Consider the following 23796-nt stretch of genomic DNA (forward strand, 5'->3'; position numbering starts at 1 on the left):
CAAAATAGCAAGAAGGGAAAATCTGACATGCTCCAAACACAAAGAAATGATAAATGCTTAAAATGATGGATATCCCAATTACCCTAATTTGATCATTACACATTGTATGCTTGTATCAATTTAAAAAATTAAAAATGGGCGAGGCACAGTGGCTTATGTCTGTAATCCTAGCATTTTGGGAGATCCAGGTGGGAGGATCACTTGAGCCCAGGAGTTCAAGACCACCCTAGGCCACACAGGGATACCCTGTCTCTATAAAAAATTAAAATATTAGCCAGGCATGGTGGCGCATGCCTGTGGTCCCAGCTGCTTAGGAGGTGAGGTGGGAGGATGGTTTGAGCCTGGGAGATGTAATGTACTCCAGCCTTGGTGAGAGAATGAGATCCTATTGTAAAAATAAAATAAATAAAAAATAAAAACAGTTAAAAGAAACCAAAAAAACCTTCAGCACTGTGTCCTATTCGACTGTGAAGATATTCTGCTTCCGTTTCATGCTTTTCATTATTCTCATCATTTAATCTCTCTACCTTATTTCCATATTTCTAGCTTTTCATGTATTTCTAAACTCTTAAAATAATGGCATTAAAAGTAAGTTAAGAATCCAGACGAGCCTTCATTAAAAAAAAAACAAAACAGGCTGGGTGCAGTGGTTCACATCTGTAATCCCAGCACTTTGGGAGGCCGAGGTGGGCGGATCACCTGAGGGCAGAAGTTCAAGACCAGCCTGGTCAACATGGTGAAACCCTGTCTCTATTAAAAATACAAATATTAGCCAGGTGTGGTGGCGTGCGCTTGTAATCCCAACTACTTAGGAGGCTGACGAAGGAGAATCGCTTGAACCCGGGAGGTGGAGGTTGCAGTGAGCCAAGATCACGCCACTTTACTCCAGCCTGGGAGACAGAGCAAAACTCCATCTCAGAAAAAAAAAAAAAAAAAAAAAAAAAAAAAAAAAAACCTAGAAGAAACCCACCTCACTCAGGGATTCAAAAAAGGAAAAAGATGAGAAAACCACTATCATAAGTTTCTCTCCAAGTGGTTACAATGTTAATGACATCCCAGGAGACGTAGATTGTCTAAAAAAATTCACTTTAAAAATACTGAATTCAGAATCCAGACTAATAGCAACTCTCTTACTCGGGTGCCTCAGCCCTTAGCCTCAATTATCTCTTCTCCCTCCCATCATTTAAGGCCCAGCAGAAACCTCTCCTCCAAAGACATACACTAACTCTTCCTGATAGAATTACACCTTCCTTTGTGATTCTACTGCCTTACATGCAAATGTCTCTTCATCCGGTTACTTAGTCTGCCAATATTTACTGAGGTCCTACTATTACCAATCACACTGCTAGGCACTTGTTTTACAACAGTAAGCAAAACAGAGTCTGCATTCAGTCTGGTGGGCCATTAGAAACTGTGATAAATGCTGTGAAGAAAAAGAACAAGAGACATGATGGCACAAGTAACTAAAGAATCTACCCTAGTATGATGGGTCAGGGAAGGCTTTTCAAGGAGCACAGCAACAAGCCGAGAAGGAAGTAGGCGGCTTTCAAAAGCTCAGTGCAAGGCGGCCAAAGAGGCTGGTATACAGAAAGTGAGTGAATGTCATGAATCAAGGCTAGGAAAAGCAGGGCCAGATCAGGCCATGCTGAGATACTTAGTACAGTATCTTGGCATTTGCCTACTTGTAGGTCTTCTCCACTACACACTAGGCATCTAGAGGACAGAAGCTAAATCATCAGACTTGAAAACAACTGAAATACCAACTGAAACACTCAAGAACTACTGTTTTTTAGTGGCTCACTCCACACATCTGGCTGACGGGCTATGTGGATATGTTTCCCCTTCTACCCACACTGCACCGCACTTTGCTCAAAAATTTTAAGAAAAGGTCTTTCCCTCATAGGTGATTTAGTCAATGCTATACCTAGCACAGTGATGAGCACAAAACTAGTACTCAAGTATCTGGTGAATAAACAAGTAAATGCTTAATTAAAAATCTCACAGCATGCAAAACTGCACCTAAAAAAAAAAAAAAGACCAATGCCTTTTCTCTGAATAACTAACAATCAGGTAGCAATATAAATACCTCCACAGAATCCATCAGACCTTGCAAGAGGAGTTTCTGGTGAGGAAAATCTCCATCCCCAACTGGAAAATATCCCAGTGTTTGGATTGCTCGTTCTTTCATCTGGAAGAACACCAAATTTTTTTCTTTTAAACAGAGTATATAATAGCTTTACCCCAGTGCAGTATTTCCAAAATGAGATGACAGGGAAGCGCAGTCTATCTAACACATCAACGCAAAAGTTTTTACAAAAGCATCAAATTTTACAGTCGTATGTCTGTAAGTCATTGAAGGTAGAAACACACAAATGTGAGTCCACTAAGGATCCACAGCTGCAAAAGAAGAAGGAAGAAAGCCTTTAACTAGGCTTATTACCTTTCAAACTATAACGATTTAAAATGTGGGTTCTGGGCCCAGAGGACCTAGGACCAAATCACATCTCAACCATTTCAGCCTATACTGGTGTGCGACCTTAAGCAAGTTATTTCCCCTCTGTGACTCTGTTTCCTCATGTTATCTCACATAGAGATGACAACTGTGCCTATTTCACTAGACCTTTTAGAAGATTCAATCAATGCATGCAAAGCACTTAACATACTCTCCGGCACATTAGAAGTGCTTAACAATGTTTGGCAATGATTAGTTAATAGCTAATAAAAACTATACTGTATATCTTCTCAGAAAGTTTTAAACAGTAGCTAGACCAAGATTAAGATTATAGGAATTAGGCCAGGCTCGGTGGCTCAAGCCTGTAATCCCAGCACTTTCGGAAGCCGAGGCAGGCAGGATTGCCTGAGGTCAGGAGTTCGAGACCAGCCTGGCCAACATGGTGAAACCCCATCTCTACTAAAAATACAAAAATTAGCTGGGCATGGTGGCGTGCGCCTGTAATCTCAGCTACTCAGGAGGCTGAGGCAGGAGAATCACCTGCCTGAACCTGGGAGGTGGAGGTTGCAGTGAGCCGAGATCACGCCATTGCACTTTAGCTTGAGCAGCAAGAGCAAAACTCCATCTCAAAAAAAAAAAAAGATTATATCAATTAAACTTGTAGTAGTAAACTGATATTTCTGCTCATTAAATCATCTTACACCTCAAAATTGAGGTGTTTTGATCACAAAACTGGCTTTAGGAGGTTAGGATTTATATTTGGCCTAAAATAAAAAAAAAATCACAAAATTACTTAACATTTTATTATACACCTTTTGCATGACAAAAGATATTTCCTGATGAATTTAATACTTCACTCAAATCTTAACAGTTATAAAGACCTAAATTGGAATGACTGGGCCAAAAGATGTGCACACTAAGATTGTACACAGATAACCTCTAGCTCAAAAGTAAACACTTAAGACTTGCTTCTTTATCACCCATTTTTACATTAAATCCTTCCTCCAGCTGTAATGCCATCTATTCTCATTATAATCTGTTTTTGCTCATGTATGCATAGAAAGACCGAATTCCAGAAAGGGAAAAAATAAGAAAAAAACTTACCTTATTTGTTTCTTTACTGGAAGGTATTCTACTTAGTAAGCTTTCTACAAGATGCAATTTGGTAAAGCCAGATCCCTCACTGGGGATTGGAAGTGGACCATTTCTGCCAATTTCACCCAGGGCTGTGCAGGCAGCAATTGCCAGGAGGGGTGATGTACTGTCCAAAAATGAGCCTGTAAGCACATTTAGCCAAAAAGAGAATTACATACCATTATCCTTACGACCCAAAGCAACCAGTGATGTACTCAAGGTTTTTTTTAAGACGGCAAAATAAAATCAAAGTGTACGATATCTTCTAGTTGACAATTTGCCAACATTTATTCAGTGGAAAGACAACATGGTAACAGGGGATAGAGTAGTATTTTTTTAATGTATAAATTTGTTCCCATAATAGGATCATCTCTGTTTATAAAAACATGTAGGAAAAAAATGTAGAGAAAAAAAATAGAGTGCTTTCATTGCTTTGTTTTTTGCTTTGTTTGTTTTGGTTTTTTGAGACAAGGTCGAGCTCTGTCACCCAGGCGGGAGTGCAGTGGCATGATCACAGCTCACCGCAGCCTGGACCTCCCAGGCTCCAGTGATTCTCCCACCTTAGCTTCCTCAGTAGTTGAGGCTACAGGTACACGCCACCATACCAAGCTAATTTTGTTTATTTTTTTGTAGAGGCTAGGTCTCACTATGCTGACTAGACTGGTCTCAAACTCTTGGACTCAAGTCATCCTCCCACCTTGGCCTCCCAAAGTACTGAGATTATAGGCATGAGCCACCACACCCAGCCTTCGTTGTTACTAAAAATACATTATTTATCAAGTAAGTTTTTTGTGAAAAAGCTTGTGTCTTTTCAAATACAATGCCATAAAAAGAAACTGAAACGCCATATTAAAATTTAACATAATTCAAAAACTGCAACACCCAAATCGACATAAAGACATTAATTACCTATTGTTTCTGTAGCACTCTGAATGAGTTCCTCTTGATCAGGGAGGGTGTCAGCATTTCTCTCCAGGTCTTGTTGCTCTGACATTCTCATTTTCTTTTTAGCCAAATACCTTCCCACCGTGAATCCCAATGCAAGCAAGGATCCATGCTGTATCTCCGGGCTCTGAATTTAGCAAAAACAATAGCATATCTCTGGCTCTCTCTCATATACGCAAGAATACATGGCAGTAACTGTGTGTCGATTAGGATCATCTCTCCAACAAAACATAAGGCTAAAGAATAAAGTGAACACTCGAGGTTTCACTGGATGCTAATGCATCGAGCTTAGGGAACAAGAGAAACCTTGAGTTTCTAACGGAATTTTGAGAAGCTGAATCTTGATTCACTTTAAGATTTACATTCTGTAATTCCATGCCCACTCCAATTCCGGGTGAGATGACTTTCCTACATGCTCCTACATGCTCCCACGCCACTTTCCAGCTTACAGCACTTATGTAACTAGAATATCATAACTTTCACACATAATGTCTTCCTATTGCCAACAAAAGACAATAAACAGATCCTATTTCTAATTGCCAAAACCTCCAAACACAAGGTAACCAACAAACTATGTGAAGTAAAACTTGTTTTTTCACTGGCAGCAGTAGATGAGGAAGAAAAAAGGAGCTAACATTTCTCGCTTTCAGTACTCATCAGGCCCGACCCTGCTTAGTTTCCAAGATCAGATGAGATTAGGTGTGTTCACGGTGGTACGGCTGCAGGCTCTGAGCATCCTGTTGTACCAGGGATTCTCATGTATTTATGAATCACTGTACTCCTAGCACCTAAAACAGTGCTTATCAGACACAGCACCCGTATCTGTTAAGTGAGCTGACTGAACCAATGTATCACCTATCTCATTTACTCTTTATGGTCATAAAAGCAAGGAATTTGTAAGTTCATTTTACAAATGAGAACATAAAAGTCAAAAATAAGTTAGATCCTTTTATAAAACCCTATCTCCCACAAAAAAGAATGAAAACAAAATAACATACGTGATTGTCTTTTGTAGTCTTTATAAGCTGTTCTATCATTGATTTCAACTCATTCCCCGACACTGTTGATACCACTACAGAATAAAACAACGCTGCCAGTTCGCGCATTTCTTCTTTACTGTTATTCATCAGACTCTGAGCAGTATAAAAAAAAAACAAATATATACATGACACAGAACCACGTGCCTGATGACAACATCTTTTAAAATTAAAAGAACGTTCAATCTGTTGATGGATATTGAGAAAAAAACAAGCCATTATTTGAAAACAAAATGAAAGCTGAATGAATTAGATAACAAAATCTTAGGTCCATTTTCGTCAAAGATACACAAGTACAAAACAGGTGAAATTTATTCACAGATGATCTAAAACAAGGGTCAGCAAACTTCTGTAAAAAAACAAAAAGGCTTTATGGGCCATTTGGTCTCTGCTGCAACTACTCCACTCTGCCACTGCAGTACAAAGGCAGCAACAGACAATACACAATGAATGAGCGTGGCTGGGTTCCAGTAAAACATGGACACGACAATGTTTGTGTCATGAAACATTATTCGTTTCTTGATTTTTTTTTCCACATTTAAAAATGTAAAAACCATTCTTAGCTTGCAAACCATACAAAAACAGGAGGCAGGCCCTATTTGGACCTTTGACTATAGCATGACAACCTCTCATCTAAAACATCAAAGTTCAATAAAATCATTTTAAAATCAGTCAATATTCATAAGAAATAAAAAAACCTTTTTAAACTAAAAGCAATTTCATAAGACCAGACTATCCAGAAATGTGCAAAACTCACACCTCCTGGCAAATTTCATTCATGTTTTCACACTTAAAGACATAATTTTTACATTTTTACCATCATTCAAGCTGTATTTTCCAAAAAAAGAACCGCAATATGTAGCACATGGAGATACAGAAAACTGTATGGGCCAACACTTATACAAAAAAAAAAATTATTCATTATTTATCTGAAATTCAAATTTAACTGAGTATCTTGTATTTTTATTTTCCAAACCTGGCATCCCTTTTGGTGTGGCCATGGGACAGGGACACCCTCATACATGACTGTTAGAAGTGTACATTGGTACCACACACGGAGGGTGTGGCATTACCTATGAAAATTACAAAAACACATGTCCTCTGATACAGCTATTCCACTTCTAGGGAATCCATCTAAAACATATACTTCCTCAATATGCAAGATGATAGATTATTCATTGCAGCAGAATGGAAGTACTCTAAATGACCATCTATAAAGATCTAGAATACATGATAGTACATTCATACAATAAAAACTGAGGCTGTTAAAGAAGATGCTCTCTCCATAGTTGTAGTGGAATAGTTCTCTACTATTAAGTGAAAGAATGTATAAAACAGTATGAATAGTATGCTGCTTTTGATAAAAAGATGGGACAAAAATTTTAAATGCATGTTTTTATGTGTATGTACATAAGTAAACTCTAGAAAGCATGCCATATATAAGTGGTCACTTATATATGTTTGTCAGAGGGGAGAGGAAAGGACAAAAATTAGAAGGCTTGGGTAGGTTGGAGATGGTTACGGAAAGGAGACATTTTACATAGTTTTTATTTAAACTACACAAATCTATTGCTTATTTTTTCAAAAAAAAAAAACTTTTGAAACAGAAAAGGAACTTTTTTTTACTCCTATGCTTCTCAATTCATCTCCCAATCTCCTCCAGATGTGTCAATGAGACATAGTGACCTACATGCTTCCCAGTAAGTGTCTGATGATAAGAGAGTTTTCAAAACGACCTAAAGGCAGAAAAGGTCATAGGGATCCCGCTGGCAGGAAAAAGAAATCATGAAGTTAAGGTCTGAAATAGAATTTTTTTTAAAAAAAGGTACATGCAGAACATACCTTTATCCATTCTGTTTTGTCTACAAATTTGGTAGCCAGCTTTTCTGGATACACTGACACAGCTTCCAATAGACAGTACATAACCGGCAAACCTAAATAAGAATTCAGAATCACCTTAAATTTCAAGAAAAGTAATGAACATACAGGGATCACTAAATTCCTTTAAAGTATAAGGCCACTGCTTTAGCACACATTCTTTCGGTTCTATTAAAAAAAAAAAAAAGAAAACCTACACAACCTAAATATAGTATGTGATTCACTACAGCAAATTTACAGATGAGCTATCTATAAAAAGGATATCCTGTTCTTCACATCCACTTCCGAAGTAAAAATGTATTTATCTATTGTTAGCATTTCTTTCCGAAAAAAGAAGTAGTGTATCCAGAATGAATCAGGTAAGTTTAAAAAGAAACAAAGGCTAATGTTCAGTTACAGAAGAAAAAGAATAATTTTGCTATAAATTCTTAGCAAAGTTTAAAATTAGATTTTTGCTTAAGTGCTTCAGTATCTTTCCTTCGCGTCACATATTCCTACCTCCAACACCTGCTAACAGCTGCTGAAGCAGGCCAATGTAGATCTGGACAGGGTTAGTCTCCCCACTCTTGTTAGATGATGAGGGTGCCATCTGCCCGCTTGACATTAAAGTCCGTATGTAGCGCCCAATGGCTGGGGCATGATCCTGCATATCAGCCAAACTCTGAGAGGTGGGCACCACCCCCGCACTGTGCGCAAGGCACATGCGCAAGTACAGAACGATCTACAAACAGAACGGAGAGGAAGACTGCATAAGCTTCTCGAAAAGTCAGTGTGGGAAGGTACTCTTCAAAGTAACAATTTCTAGTTTTGATTCACCCACACTTCTTTATAAAGCTATTCCAATCCTCATGGAAGGCAGAAAATATGCCATAATGGAGCAAAATTTGTATAATAAGGTTTGCAAATCCAAAGAATTTTTTAAGATTGTTAAAATACAAACTGAACTTTTAAAGTCAGAAATTGGAGCTGGAGGCTGTTATCCTTAGCAAACTAACGCAGGAACAGAAAATCAAATACCACATGTTCTCACTTATAAGTGGGAGTTAGATGATAAGAACTTCTGAACGCAAAGAAGCAAACAACAGACACTGGGGTATACTTGAGGAGAGAGGGTGGGAGGAGGGAGAGGAGCAGAAAAGATAACTATGGGGTATTGGGCTTAATATCTGGGTAATGAAATAGTATATACAACAAACCCCCATGACACATATTTACCTATATAACAAACCTTCACATGTACCCTCGAACCTAAAATAAAAGTTAAAAATTATAATAAAAATCATTATTTTTTAAAAGCCGTGTGTGTGTGTGTGTGTGTGTGTGAGAGAGAGAGAAAGACAGAGAGAGAGGAAAGAAATCTGAAGTAAATGGCCTATTACTCCTGCAGAATTCCAGTTGTGTTTACTCCATTGACACAAGAATCTGAGAAAATGGGTTCAATTCATCTACAGAAAAATAGATATAACACCATAAAAACCTCTGATATAGACCAGACACAGTGGCTCACGCCTGTAATCCCAACACTTTGGGAGGCTGAGGCAGGAGGACTGCTTTAGCTCAGGAGTTCAAGACCAGCCTGGGAAACATGGTGAAACCCATCTCTACCAAAAAGATAACAGAATTAGCCAGGGGTGGTGGTGCACGCCTGTAGTCATGGCTACTCAGGAGACTGGGACGGAGGTTCACTTGAGCCCAGGAGGCAAGGTTGCAATGAACCGAGATCACGCCATTCACTGTACTCCAGCACGGGCAACAGAGTGAGACTCCTTCTCAAAAAAAAAAAAAACCAAACAAACAAAAAAAACAACCCTTACATAAACAGGCTGCCAAGGAGTCCATCCTCTGGAAGCTTTTTCATTGATCGTTAAAATAGGATAGGCAGCAAATTCACTGTGAATATTCTTAATCCGAACAAGATCACCTCTTGTAATTTACCTAGAGCAAGTCAATAATCTAAAAAACAGAATTTCCCTTAATAAGTGTGATCAATTTAATCCTCTCCAACCTTCAAAACTAAATAACCCTAACAACCTCAACAACAGGTTGGCTTTAAAACCCAAATCTAACTTGCTGCAAAATCCCAATAGTAATCACTACAGAACATCCAGTTTTTTCACAAAAAGAATCTCACTGAGATAAATATATTTACATACTTCACTATGAATTAAAATAATACCAATTTCCCAATACTTTTTTTTTAAATAAACAACCCGATGAAGAACAATGACACCACAATATGGGTTTACCTAAAACACAACAAAATGACAGACCCCTCTTTGGGTGTGGTGTGATCTTTTTAGAACACTTACAAAAAGTAAATAGAAATATATGAAAGTTCTACCTCTCCAAAGGCTGCTGGGTTAAATGGAAGGACAGTGGTCCCGGTCATGTACTTGACTGGAGTTTTCATTCGATGAGAAGCCTAAGTTTAAAAAGTCCAAAACAGACACAATTACTGAAAAATGAAGCATACCTGCCCTTCCTCAACTCAAAAACAACTGTGTTTCTAGCTACATGTCCTAAGTTTGCTTCTTTTTCTGATCAAACATTTTCCACTTTCCTATTAACCATGCTGATCGTGCATGTCCCTCACACACTAAAAGACAAGTGTATTGCCCTTTTTCCATGTTTGTTCTGGTTTGTTTAAAAATAATAAACCTATTCCAGACATCTACTAATATGGTCATCTCAGGTCACTGCATGCCAGTTATTTTCATTAATAATCAAAGTAGGAGGAAACTACAAGCAGAGAATCTTCTGACCACAAATAGACTGTGCTGCTATGTGGAAAACAGAATCATGGCCGCTGCATACTGACCTTCAACTCCCTTAAGGTGCCTACCTAGCAAAGAGCTAGGATCACCAGTGGAGGTAAAAGGTAGGAAGGTGTCCTCCGGCAAAGTGGGACAGAGTCAAGGCCTGGAGGGGGTGGATGGTCATTACTGCCAATATCCTGGATCTACTAGCAGAAAACACTGTGCAAAAGCAAAAACTTACAAAAGCAGATGGGATGCTCTCTTATGAACACGGTGGGAAGAACATGAACTGTTCCCTGAAGCATCCTTAAACTTACACTACCCTAAAGCGTGCCCTTAAAAATAAAAAGGAGAACCAGCGTGGGCAATATAGCAAAACTCTGTCTCTACAAAAAATAAAAAAATTAGCCAGGCACGGTGGTGCACGCCTGTAGTCCCAGCTATCGGGAGGCTGAGGAGGGTGGATCACTTGAGTCTGGGACGTGGAGGTTTTAGTGAACTGAGACCACACCACTGCACTCTAGCCTGGGTGACCAGAGCAAGACCCTGTCTCAAAAAAAAATAAAAAAATTTTAAAAAAAGGAGATGTATTTTTAAGCATGTCATATTAAGGGAAAAAATATTTAACACAGCCAAAATGTTGCCAAGCATGAAAGGAATTATAAGTAATTCAAGTTTAGGCAAAACAGATCAATTACAGGTGAGGATTACAATTTTTTTTCCTCACTTTGTATCTTCTTCTTATTGTAAGTATTAATGCTAGAAACTTTATGAGTCAGCTGGGCATGGTGGTTCATGCCTGTAAACCTAGCACTTTGGGAGGCCAAGGCAGGTGGATCACCTGAGGTCAGGAGTTCAAGACCAGCCTGGCCAACATGGTGAAACACTGTTTCTACTAAAAATACAAAAAATTAACCGGGCTTGGTGGCAGGCGCCTATAATCCCAGCTATTCAGGAGCTGGGGCAGGAGAATCACTTGAACCCAGGTAGTGGAGTTTGCAGTGAGCCAAGACCGTGCCATTGCACTCCAGCCTGGGCAACAAGAGCGAAGCTCCATCTCAAAAAAAAAAAAGAAAAGAAAAGAAAAAGAAATTTTATGAGTCAACATCTAGTGATTACATTTTTCACTTTAAAGATGTTTTTATTTTCATCATCCATTATGATTTAGACTAATTACCTTAAGTTGCATGCCATACCTTTTCTTGGATGTAATAAACCATTTCTGGGAAGGAAGGCATCTGCTCAGAAGTACTTTCTTTTCTGTTTCTACCTGGAAGACACCTTAATACGCGTTGTGCTTCTCCATGAACTTCTTCACGTCTTTCAGAAAAAGACAAATAAGAATAAAAAATAAATGTCACCAATGGGAAATGATCATTTGAAGAATAAGAACAGCAATTTTATTTGGCAGCTAGAGTTCTCAGAAAATGTCTTAAATACATTCTTGGCTATCTAAGCAGAGTCAACATAACACATTATAAGAAATCACTTCTTTTCAGAAATTGCATGAGGTCCGGGGACTCATCTGGCTTACATCTTTGAATTTGACTCACATTAAAAAACAAGATAGGGTACTTTAAGTAAATTATTATGTAAATATCTATGTGTATGCTTTACCTCGTAGAGTTAAACCATAAACAACTATAATACATATTTTAGAAGTCAGTGACTATCCAGTGGTCTACACACTCCACCCAAAGTCTTACATCTCTATGTATTCAGCTACAATTCTGTACAACTAATAACTCATAAGTGACATTAAAGTGTAAAAATATAAACCCAACCAATTTCAGACCACCTAGAGACTGATCTCAGCAATAGTCTTATCCAGATACCACATAAAGGCCTTTTAATTCTTCAATTGCCTCTGATTGTGTCTCATTTTCCAAACAACACATAAAGGGCCGAAAAGAAAGAATTAATAAATAATTCCTTAAGTTGTCAGAGGATTTTCATTTGACCTGAATGGTTCTAACCTAAGAAGGAAAACTGTTGAATTAGTTATGCTTTGTTTTTGGTTTCTTAAACAAAAACAATTTTCAGCACTTACAGAGTAAGATACAGCAGTTAAGAGCTCTATTTGGAAGTCCAACTCCCTAGACTTAAATCCTTGCTCTAACATGAACTGACACCTTGGCTGCCAGGCCCCAGTACATCTGGCCTTGGTTGGGAAACTAACGTAAAAAAATTAAGAAGCAACAGAGCACCAGAATCAACATTAACAATCCAAAGCCACTTTAACCAGATTGAAATGTGCTCTATGAGAAGCAGCAGCCAAGATCAGAAGTCAAAAACCAGCACCTGGTAATAACTTGTGATGTCCAATTAAAATACCAACCAAATAAATAACAGCAAAATATATACAACTTATAGTAAAGAAAATAAATGGCATGAGGGGCACACAGCTGGCCAACTAGAACACTGAAACAGTTATCAAGGAATTACCCATTTTTAAAAAATGGACCATAAAAGTTTATGGGCAAGGGTGTTCAAATCATCACAGAATGCATAATTTTATTTAAACTATTCCTCAGAATAAATGAAGCTTTTCATCTCCCCAAATAAGGCTATCCCTGATAACAAAAAAGAAAAACATATACAAGAATCTCACTTAAGGGATGCAAAAATTCTAAACGTTAAATGTAGTAATGGTTTATTATGAAATAGATTAGAATGCTGCATGGATTTTAAGATGGCATTGACTGTAAGACATATAACAGATTTGAAAAGAGTTGTTTTAATATGTCCACATATATTTCATTATATGTACATGACTTTTAAAGGCATGTCCCAATTTCAAAACCATTTAAACATTCTTTTAAAAAGCATTACACACTCTAGAAAATGCAGTAGTATAATTCATTAATATAAAATGCAACTTATACCTCATTTAAAAATATATTAGATATAAAATGATACTCCATATTTAATAAAATATTAATACATATGTCAAACCATCAACATCAGCCTTTTTTCTCCTTACATAGGGCTTGTTTTTAGATATATAATTATATTACACACGCAATCATATAATTTGCTTTATTTACACTTGACCATTTCATAACCATTTTCTGTATTAGCTATATATCATATATTACACATATATATCTACATAATGTATATTATATAGATATATACATGTAATATTTATATTACTATATAAATATATAGGTATATGAGTACAGGTCTATATCACATCAAGAGCCATACTTTCTTTAATAAATAGCTTCTAAATTTCATAGACCAACATTGTAAACAATACAACTTTTAGTAATTTTCAAATAAATTCAAAATAAACCAAAATTCAAATTAACACCTTTTGAAACTTACGGATCTCCTGCAGCCAGTAGCAGCAAATATCTGGAAGGGATATGATCTGAGGGAAACACCGTACTGGCAAATTTCACAGCCACTTGTCGAACTTGAACTTCAGGCTATTTCATGTGTAAACATACACAGACCACCCCGATCCGAAAAAGGAAAAAAAAAATCAATTACCAGCCATTCATTCCAATCAAGATGAGTCTTCCTAACTGTAAACAATTCAAAATTCTAAGGTGACATTTTAATAAACGTGTATCTAAATTAAATAAATCATTTGTTCAAGATCTTTAATCATGTTGTTTAAGTCTTTTGGATGGTGGCATTACTTAAAGAGTATTCTTATAATTTTAGAGGATCCTCCAGGTGAAGTAGGAAGACCTCCAAGGACCATAACTAGAGAATCTCTGCGCATCCTCAGCCCAAACCTTGGGACCACGGTCACTGTGACAGTTTCTAGCCATCACCTCCGCCACCCCAACTCTCAAACTGTCAGTCACATGAGTGAAAGTCAGGTATTTGGCAGAAATTACAAACAGAGCCTACTTGGAATCCCCACCAATTTGAAGCTAAATACTTCAAATTGAGCTTCTCAGATTAGCTCAAAGCAGTTTCAACTACAGAAATATATTCAATTAACTAAGATTAATAATCTGTAACTACAAAGTTCAACCAGAAAAGTAGTTTTAGAATCTACTGATCCTGAAGCTTTATTCTTACGTACCTTCCCCAGGTCACTCCTCTAGCCACAAACATAAGTGAAATAAGAGAGACATTAAAAATATATATATTGTCCCACTCATTCTGGCATTCTTGCTATTTAGCAGTCCTTGAACTACATTAAAGAGTGAGGATATTAAAGACTAGCCTAAATTACATAACTAACCTAGAGTTTGGTTGCTTTAAATGTTGTCTGTGAAAAGAAATTAGCTTTGTCTTGGTAATAGTGTTACATGATTTGATCTGTGTGCGTAGAACCAGTATCTGTGTTTATTCAAGCATCACACTTCCTTGTAAAGTTACCTAGAGAAAGTTTAAAGTATTCTGTTCTAATGAGCTTCCAAATACGCCTACACACCTTTGTCCATAACATATGACCATGAACCACATGCACTGCACACTAAGAGCACTTGACAATAGGACTCCATCATAGTAAGCTTTCTGAATGTATATAATAGCACATTTAACCCTGTCATATTTTAATAGGAAGCAGATACCTTTCTGAACATTTAAAATTCCCTCAAAATATTAAATCATGTCAGTCTAATTCCATTAGGACACAATTTATATTAATCTGACTGACACTTTTTAGTATCATTCTGTCTTCCAATCTCCCTTTCTACTCCTAAAAATGTGGGACAAAGAACTGACTAAAGCAAATATATATTACATATTACATATATGTGTGTGTGTGTGTGTGTGTGTGTGTGTGTGTGTGTGTGTATCTACAGATATTCAAAATCCTCCTACAAATTCCCATGAAAACCAAATAAAGAGGAAGAAGAGCATGTATGATAGTACTGGCTCACTTCCTAAAGACTCACTTTGACATATGGAATTTGTCTTTCATCCCTTCTGCTTTTCTCTGAAAATGTTACCTATCAAACTCTACCCCAGCGGACAGTAGTGCTCAGCTACCAGTTACAAAGACAAAACACTTCTAACTCGGAGGACATGGCATTAAGAATAGTTTTCCCACATGGAAAGCTCTAAACATAAGCATCGCTATGAATACTACCACTCCTTCTCCCCTAAAGTCAAATTTTCATCATGAAGAATTAAAAATAGATCCTAAATCACAGCCCAAGTGAAAGCAAATACTCCTCTTATCAAAAGTTAAGTAGCAATTCAAATTTTGTTCTTAAAAATGTAAACCGTATACTACCCAGGCTTTGTAGTTCACACGGACCTACCTTTATTAAGTACGAAGCCACAAGTGCCTCCATGAGAGTTCGCTGTGCCCCTTCCAAAGTACTATACGCTCCAACCATCATAGATAAAGCTTCTTGAATAGCAAGTCGAGTCTCAGGCTCTTCCTATAAAGATGATAAAAATGTTTCCCTCCTTGTTGGGTTCCCAGGGGAACATCCAAACACAAAGCATAAACTTAGCAGCTGTTTCCCTACCTTGCAAAGGGCTTCAAAAAGCTGCTGCACAAGCGCTATATCCTTAGTGAATAAATGTGGCATCCGACTGCAAAAGAATGTAAAAATATTGTTACTATCATAAATTTCCAAGAGATGAAAAAGGGAAAAAATGAAACTAAACACAAATTTTCCTGAACTCTCTGAAGACAATGTCAGCATCATTACCCGCTCTGAGAGCCAAAAATTTTTCCAAGTATTTAATTCTTTAATCCAAATAACCCTTGATTAACACGCACATCTTCCAAATATCCCCTCTATAATATTCCATGCATTCAGTTAACATTTCTGATTTTAACATGAAGAAATTAGGTAAGACCAAACTGTGATCTAAACTAATGACTGTCGTGGAAAGGGGCTTTGTTACTTCATGCCAACAGACAAGGGACAAGGTTGGCTGACAACCCTGCACTATATCCACTGATCTGGGGTGGCTTTCTTCCAAACCCCAAAGCTCCTTTCACTGTAGAGAAGAGCAAGACCTGGTCTACACAGGCCAACACAAAACCTGCACTGGGCGTGGAAGCAGCACATGGTGCCACTGAGAATGCTTCATCTCTATCTCCCTGCTTTCAAATACAGTGAAGGAAGATGAAGCCAGGAGGAACTGGAATGAGGAAATCACATTGAGAAGAAAAAAAAATCTGTCAGGGCCACTCAGAATCATAAACACCATTCTCAGAAAAGAGAATCACTAGAAAAACCTTGATCACTGGGTTTATAAAGATTAGTGCCAAGTAGCAACAAAAACACTTAAGGTCAATCAAAAGTCTCTAGGGTACAAAAAAAGTAACCCATTATGACACAATTAAGTTCAAACTCTCATTTCAAGACCACCATTTAATACAGTAACATACCTTCAAATGTAAATTAAAATGTCTCACATCTTTTTCCTTCTACACAGAAGACATTTCTAAACAACCTATGACCATTAAATACATTCCCTTTCAGAATCACGACAAATTTATTCTCCGCCATTATTAAATGCCACATAATTTTTCTCTGTTTACCAACACCATATCTCTCACTAAAAAAGAGTTTACTCACCTGGAGAGTTTTCCAACAGCTGAATATGCCATTGACAGTAGTTTAGGGTCCTTGAAATTAAAAAAAGAAAAGAAAGAAAAGAAAGAACAAAAAACAGACAAAACAAAAAATACAGTAAACAGTAAAACCTTTTCGCTGCAATTACATGCATTATTTTACTCCTTATTAAACCTAGGTCTCACTCTGTCTAACTACATGGTGTTAGCACCTGAACAACAACAAAAATGTCCAAACCCAGAATCCATCACACTAACTAAAAGGAAAAACAAGACAAAACCTTGCATCCCCAATCGCTCCAAAAAGAAAATGCAGTGGTCATAGATATGAAAGGTTTCTCTTAGCTGGTGCTGAGTTCAAGATATTTCAACACTATGTAACCTCCAAACACCAAAGTTCATCTTCAACACACTAAAAAACATTAACTCATTAGAAAATACATCACCGGTCCAACAGACTAGGATCCTCCGTCTCTCACCAAAATTGCAATAAACTGTAGTGTGATCTTCTAAAAATCTACACTGTAATGAACAGCTTTCTATCATATTTTCTACCATAAAAAATTAAGAGGGTCATAATCACCAGGTGAATTAGTGAGGTTCTCTCCTCAAGATACAGATAGAGTTTTACATGGTTTTACAAAAACTAATAATCTGATTACTCAGAACACAATAAACTTCTACCAGTTAAAGTTTATGTGTTTATCCTAGGATTTGCCCTTCCACATCTAAATGGCTACTCTTATGGATTCATCTGTTGGGAAGACATGCAGATGTCACCTGCAGGTAAGGGGACTCACACCCTGTGGTTTGTCTGGCCTCTCTAACTTACATTTAAATATACAGCTTCTCCCCAAGAGCCCCAGAACATTTTCATTTCTACCAATGACTCTAAAGCATTTCACCATCTATGCCATAAAATAATCTGAGTGGTCCCCTAGATCTTAACCATGCAAGCATCACTCAATAGGAGAAAGAAGCTATGAGAACCAGGCCTACTTACCACCCCAAAGCACAGCTGCACAGTAAATAAAGTGCCTTTCACTAATAATACCTACTAACGTGCCTTGACTATGGTGAACAATTTAGGTAGATTAACTCATTCAATCTTCACAGTAATCTAATCAAGCAGTATTATTTTCATTTTTCTAATAAGAAGGTGCAAAGAATTTAAGTAACTCACCAAAGAACAAAACTAGGATTCAAACTCAGTTCTAATTTCAGATGTAAGATCTTGATCTCACTATACTACTGCAAACATGCATTCATGTTTAGCTTAGACTGGGGAAAATAATGCTAATGAATTCTTGAAATATTACCTTTTTAAGCAAATTCCTTTTAAATATTGGAGATATTATAGTAAGAGAAATACAGCAGGGAAAGGGATTCAAAAATCCACAGTCCAAGGAATCCTCATCCCATTTAGCTTAAGGAATCAAAAATTTACTGAATGCATGTTTTGACAGAATTTTGAATCATTAAAATCTCAGCCCCATTATTTACCAGAGAAAAATATAAAAGAAAAAAAGTATCTTAGCCCCTGAGAATTAACAGTTTCCCAACACAAGCCAAATCCAAATAGTCACATAGGGAAATCAACATAAATTTCAATTCCTTTAATTCCATTTTTGCACAATAGCTAGAAGTAGCACAAAAGGTGCTGGCTGAAAAAATGCTATTTAAAGATACAGCAGGCTGGGCATGGTGGCTCATGCCTGTAATCCCAGCACTTAGGGAGGCCGAGGCAGGCGGATCACCTGAGGTCAGGAATTCAAGACCAGCCTGGCCTTGAGACGGCCAGTAGAGATGGCCAACCCATCTCTACTAAAAATACAAAAAATTAGCTGGGTGTGGTGGTGGCAGGTGCCTGTAATCCCAGCTACTCGGGAGGCTGAGGCAAGAGAATCACTTGAACCAGGAGCCGGAGGTTGCAGGGAGCTAAGATCATGCCATTGCACTCCAGCCTGGGCAACTAGAGCAAAACTCCATCTCAAAAAAAAAAAAAGATATAGTAAGACCTCATATCAGTTTTTAACAGTTATTTCCCCCCAAAAAAGCAAAAAAGGGCAGTAATTTCTGAAATTTGTACTATTTCAAGTAAAATGTTAAGGAACAGTGAAACTTTAACAAACTTTTAACTAACTACATTGACAGACCAGAAATATTATAGAAAATACTTTAAGATATAAAATGTTGATAAAATTTAAAAGACAAGTCACTTACCTCTTTGTATTCATTGATTAGCTTGGTGAGGCCATTCAAAAGCATTGGACCTAATGGCTTAATCTTGATTTCTGGACAGCTTTAAATAAAACACACATACACAAAGCAAGATAAGAATCTCATGACTACATATCTTTACGGATGATTACATAAAATAATGAGAGACATAACCGAAATAAGTTAAATAATCTATTAAAATACAAAAATTTTTAAAGATGAGCAAACATGTTTTCTTTCTAGGTAAGATGAGTAAAACGATACACTTGAAGCACTCAATCATTCCAGCAGCTTGAAAACTTTATAGTTAAAATAGTTAAAGACTTACGTTATACAAATATGATGCACAAATTGCAGGGATAATGTTCTTAACTTTGAATTTGTATTTGTACCAAAAAGTCCATCATACACCACCTATGTAAAATGAAGAGTTGAGAACATCAATTAATAAAAATAAGAATTTAATATTTTTGAATAGTAATCAGAATTCAGCAGCAGACCTTTCATACTACATCTCGTTCTTCAACATTAATGCAGATACACATTATTAGCTGACCAACTTAGAAAGCCAATCAGAAGCTCCTATAAATAGTCTGTGGAGTAACAAACACAATGGTTGATCGCACAAGTCTGCAAAGATTGTGGGTCTACCACAGTGAGGAAACGAAGAGTACACACTGCAGTGGGTCACCACTCAGCTATTCCCTATGTTTCTTAATTATATGATTCAGGACAAATTCTAATAAAAGCTTCAGAGAAAACATACAAATGGAAATATTCTACAAGTGTCCCATTGGGGTAAAGGTGCTTCAAGTATTATGGAACCACATCTAGAAGGCAAAAAGATCATGCAGATGAGTCCTGTGCAGCATCCAGCAAGTTCAATATTAACCAACAACATCAAAAATATCTAAATCCCTCAAGTTCCTTTTTATGACAAAGATTACTTACACTAAAAAAAAAAAAAAAAACTCTATACTCTTGTTCCTAAAACTGCCAGCAGTATTCTGATCTTATTTAACAATAACATGTGAGTTACAGACTAGTATTGAGTATCTGCTTTATAATTGCCACTGTGCTAGGTACTAAGAGATATAAAAAAGAACAAGCACTCAATCTTGTTGAAGAGTTAAGAGATACACACATTAAAATGATACATAGCCAAGCATGGTGGCTCACACCTACAGTCCCAGCTACTAGGGAGGCTAGGACGGGAGGATCACTTGAGCCCAAGCATTCAAGGCCAGTCTGGGCAACATAGCAAGATCCTGTCTCACTTCAAAAAAAAAAAAAAAAAATCCCAGCACTTTGGGAGGCCAAGGCAGGAAGATCACTTGAGCCCAGGAGTTCTAGACCAGCCTGGGCAACATAGTGAAACTCCATCTGTACAAAAAAATACAAAAATTAGCCAGGCATGGTGGCACATGCCTGTAGTCCCAGCTACTTGGGAGGCCTGGAGATGGGAGAATCATTTGAGCTTGGGAGGCAGAGGCTGCAGTAAGCCTAGATCACACCACTACTGCACTCCAGTCTGGGTGGCACAGAAAGACTCCGTCTCCAAAAAAACCACAAAAAGATATGGGACAAAATATAATCAAGTGCTACATTATTTGAAACAGACTTTTTTTTTAGCTACTCGGGAGGCTGAGGTGGAAGGATCACTTCAGCCTGGGAGGTAGAGGCTGAGTGAGACAAGATTGTGCCACTGCACTCCAGCCTGAGCAACACAGTGAGACCCTGTCTCAGAAAAAAAAAAAAAGCAATGAAAAAGAAAACAGACTGAATGTGGGCCAAGACTAGAGGCAGGAAGGTAAGTTAAAAGAATACTGCAATAACCAAAACAAGAAGTAATAGTTTGAATTAATAGCAGCATTATAGGCATAGAGAAGTGAAGACATTAAGATGAAATCAAGAGGATTTGGCCACTGCCTTCAAGTGAGCTTTCAGTTAAGGATGACTCAGCTTTGTCACTTAAGTGACTAAGTTGCTAATGATACCATTTTTGGAGAAAAGCCACACATAAAAAAAAACCTTGTCTGAAAGGGATTATTACCATACATTTAAGATAAATGGAAGCCAATATAGCATAGGTTAAGTGTTCCTTACTGGAAATGCTTAGGATCAGAAGTGTTTTGAGATTTCAGATTTTTTCAGATTTTGGAATATGTGTACATACATAAAGAGATATCCTGGGGATGAAACCCAAATCTAAAGATGAAATTCACTGACATTTTCTATACACCTTATGCACATAGCCTGAAGGTAATTTATACAATATTTTAAATAATTTTGTGCATGAAGTAAAGTTTTGACTGTTTTAATGCAATCCATCACATGAGACCAGGTATGGAATTTTGCACTTGGAGCATCATGTCAGTACAAAGTTTTGGACTTTGGAGCATTTAGGATTTCAGATTTTCTAATTAGAGATGCTCAACCTATATATATTTTCTGATAATTTTTTTAAAATCATATTGCAGCAAATTTAAGATAGAAAAAAAGAATCTCATTAATCTTGTTATATACATCAACCTACCCACTGAATATCCATTAACACAGTTCTTTCTCTAATTAAATAGACATAAAAGTTGCAGACAGGCCAATATTCTCTGGAAAAAACAAATTACCTGAATGTTGGCTGGGAACGTTTCAGCAGCTTGTCTAGAGCGGAGGAGATGGGGGACAATCTTTAACTTGACTCTTGTACTGACAGGGTCCCTTTTCAACTCTGGCTTCAGAACTGCACCCTGTTGAAAATATGCTTGATTATAACTCAGCAATTCAAAATTATTTTGAACTGAAAATGTCATGAGAATTCATCTTAATCAGTGGTCTCTCAAACTTTGTTTCAAGATCCCTTTACACTCTTAAAAATTACTGAACTCTCCAAAGAGCTTCTGTTTATATCTGTGTAACCTATCAATATTTACTATACGGGAAATTAAAACTGAGAAATTTTAACATATTTGTTTACTCACAATTATTAATAAACTCATTATTTTCAAAACTAACATTTTTATAAAAAATAACTATTTTCCAAAGCAAAAAAAATTGTACTGAGGGAGAAGCACTGTTTTACATTGTCTACTAATCTCTTCAATGTTCGCCTTACTACAAGAGAAATGAATTTTTATATATTCTTCTGTATTCAATCTGCTATAATACATTGTTTTGGTTGAAATAAGTAACAAAAACCTCGCTTGCACAGATATGTGTGGTTGGAAAAGTGGAGATGATTTTAGCTTTCTTAGGTAATTGTGGACATTCTTTTTTCATACTACACCAAAACTTGACAAATAATAATTTCTTAACAGTTAATTGCTTATTTTTAAAAAATGAAAAAAAAAAGGTTAGTTGCAATTTGGAGTTGAAACCATATCAATGAACTTTTGTATACTCTTATACTATATTCCACTGGTTATCTTACTCTGAATGGCTCCCTTGTCCTTATATGCTTTTGTAACATCATTCTTCATGTGCACAATACTGGCTCACTGAGTTAAGCAAATGTTTCTTCATACATACATTTTTTTTCACAAAGCCTGTGCTCATATCACCTGTGTTCTAACGGCATCAGAAAAATCTACTAAGTACTGATAAGCTATCAAATCACTGTGGTGAATACAAGTTTCTCAAAACTCTAATTTTTGCTTGAAAGCTAACTTTTATCATTGCCAATAAATCATGTTGTTTTTCTTGAAGTAACAAGCTCATTTTTTTCCCTTTTAGAGAAAGTATGCACCAAATACCCATCTCGGTAGCTATAATTTGCCTGTCTACTCTTCAAGTAAAGTCATTTTTACTGCTTCATCAAGGATGTTCTTAAGTAAAGCTGAGTTTTATTCTCTTTTTTTTTTTAAATGAGTACATAACACTGAAGAATAGAATAACTGTTAGTCATCTGGTGACATGGCTTTGATATGTGGTAGGAACCTAGCAAGTACACTCACCATTGCTTTTGTACCATGAGTGCAAATATTGACACAGTACAAAAAGAAAAGGCCTTCACAGACTGCCTAAAAGGTGTTTTGTGACCCTAAAAAGGTCCATGGACCACACTGTGAGAACCACTAATCTAATCCAACCCCTTCATTTTCTACATGAAGAACATGAGGCCAGGAAAAGTTATGTGATCAGCCAAACCTTTCCTCCCCAGCACATTCATGTGTACAGCCATTTGGGGCTAGAATTCATAGGTCCTGATTCCCAATTCATTGTTATTTCTGCTTTACCACACTCAATCTAATCTAACCAGGGCTAATATTGATTTTTAAAACAAGTATTTATGGTTTAAAAAGCAAAAAGGCAGACAGGTGCAGTGGTGTGCACCTGTAGTCACAGCTACTCAAGAGACTGAGGCAGGAGCACAGCTTAAGCCCAGAAGTTCAAGTCCAGCCTAGGCAACATAGCTAAACCCCAACTCAAACAAAAAAGAGCAAGAATGCAAGCATGCAAACAAATAATCCTTGTATATCTGGGTTTGGACCTGGAATACTTTTAAACACAGTGAACTAAAAAGAACTCACGTTAGTAAGGCAAAGGTCTTACTTTGAGGCTTTAGAAGGACCTATCTTTTGTTCTAGATTCTAGACCAGAAGTCTGCAAACTATAGCCCACAGTCCGAATCTGGCCCACCATTTATTCTGATAAGGTCTATGAGTTAAGCATCATTTTTACATTTTGTAATGGTTAAAAAATATCAAAGGAATATATTTTGTAATATATGAAAACTACACAAAATTCAAACATCAGTATCCACAATGTTTTACCGGCACACAACCATGCTCATTCGGTTATGTATTGCCTATAGTTGCTTTCATGTTACAAGAGTTCAGCAGCTGCAACCTGAGAGACCATAAGGCCTGC

At 37.0% G+C, this 23796-nt stretch overlaps 1 protein-coding gene and 1 pseudogene across 11 annotated transcripts in view; both read right to left on the reverse strand.

The window, feature by feature from the left end:
- Positions 1 to 23796, reverse strand: part of ECPAS (Ecm29 proteasome adaptor and scaffold) — a 123699-nt gene that overhangs the window by 45800 nt on the left and 54103 nt on the right. For 10 of the 11 annotated variants that reach the window (NM_001363756.2, NM_001364929.1, XM_047423107.1 and 7 more), the window contains 15 exons: positions 21558 to 21677; positions 19259 to 19344; positions 18934 to 19012; positions 16715 to 16764; positions 15650 to 15716; positions 15437 to 15559; positions 13533 to 13636; positions 11399 to 11522; positions 9788 to 9868; positions 7945 to 8167; positions 7411 to 7502; positions 5530 to 5664; positions 4496 to 4658; positions 3557 to 3729; positions 2087 to 2188 (listed from right to left, as the gene is read on the reverse strand). In NM_001363756.2, coding sequence (NP_001350685.1) covers positions 2087 to 2188; positions 3557 to 3729; positions 4496 to 4658; positions 5530 to 5664; positions 7411 to 7502; positions 7945 to 8167; positions 9788 to 9868; positions 11399 to 11522; positions 13533 to 13636; positions 15437 to 15559; positions 15650 to 15716; positions 16715 to 16764; positions 18934 to 19012; positions 19259 to 19344; positions 21558 to 21677 — 1722 coding nt within the window. Of the gene's footprint in view, positions 1 to 2086; positions 2189 to 3556; positions 3730 to 4495; positions 4659 to 5529; positions 5665 to 7410; positions 7503 to 7944; positions 8168 to 9787; positions 9869 to 11398; positions 11523 to 13532; positions 13637 to 15436; positions 15560 to 15649; positions 15717 to 16714; positions 16765 to 18933; positions 19013 to 19258; positions 19345 to 21557; positions 21678 to 23796 lie in introns of those variants that run through there. The other variant, XM_047423109.1, reaches the window with a different exon arrangement.
- On the reverse strand, positions 5160 to 5258 carry RNA5SP294 (RNA, 5S ribosomal pseudogene 294; annotated as a pseudogene).

This window comes from Homo sapiens, chromosome 9, assembly GCF_000001405.40.
Source record: "Homo sapiens chromosome 9, GRCh38.p14 Primary Assembly".
NCBI classification, from domain to species: Eukaryota; Metazoa; Chordata; class Mammalia; order Primates; family Hominidae; genus Homo; species Homo sapiens.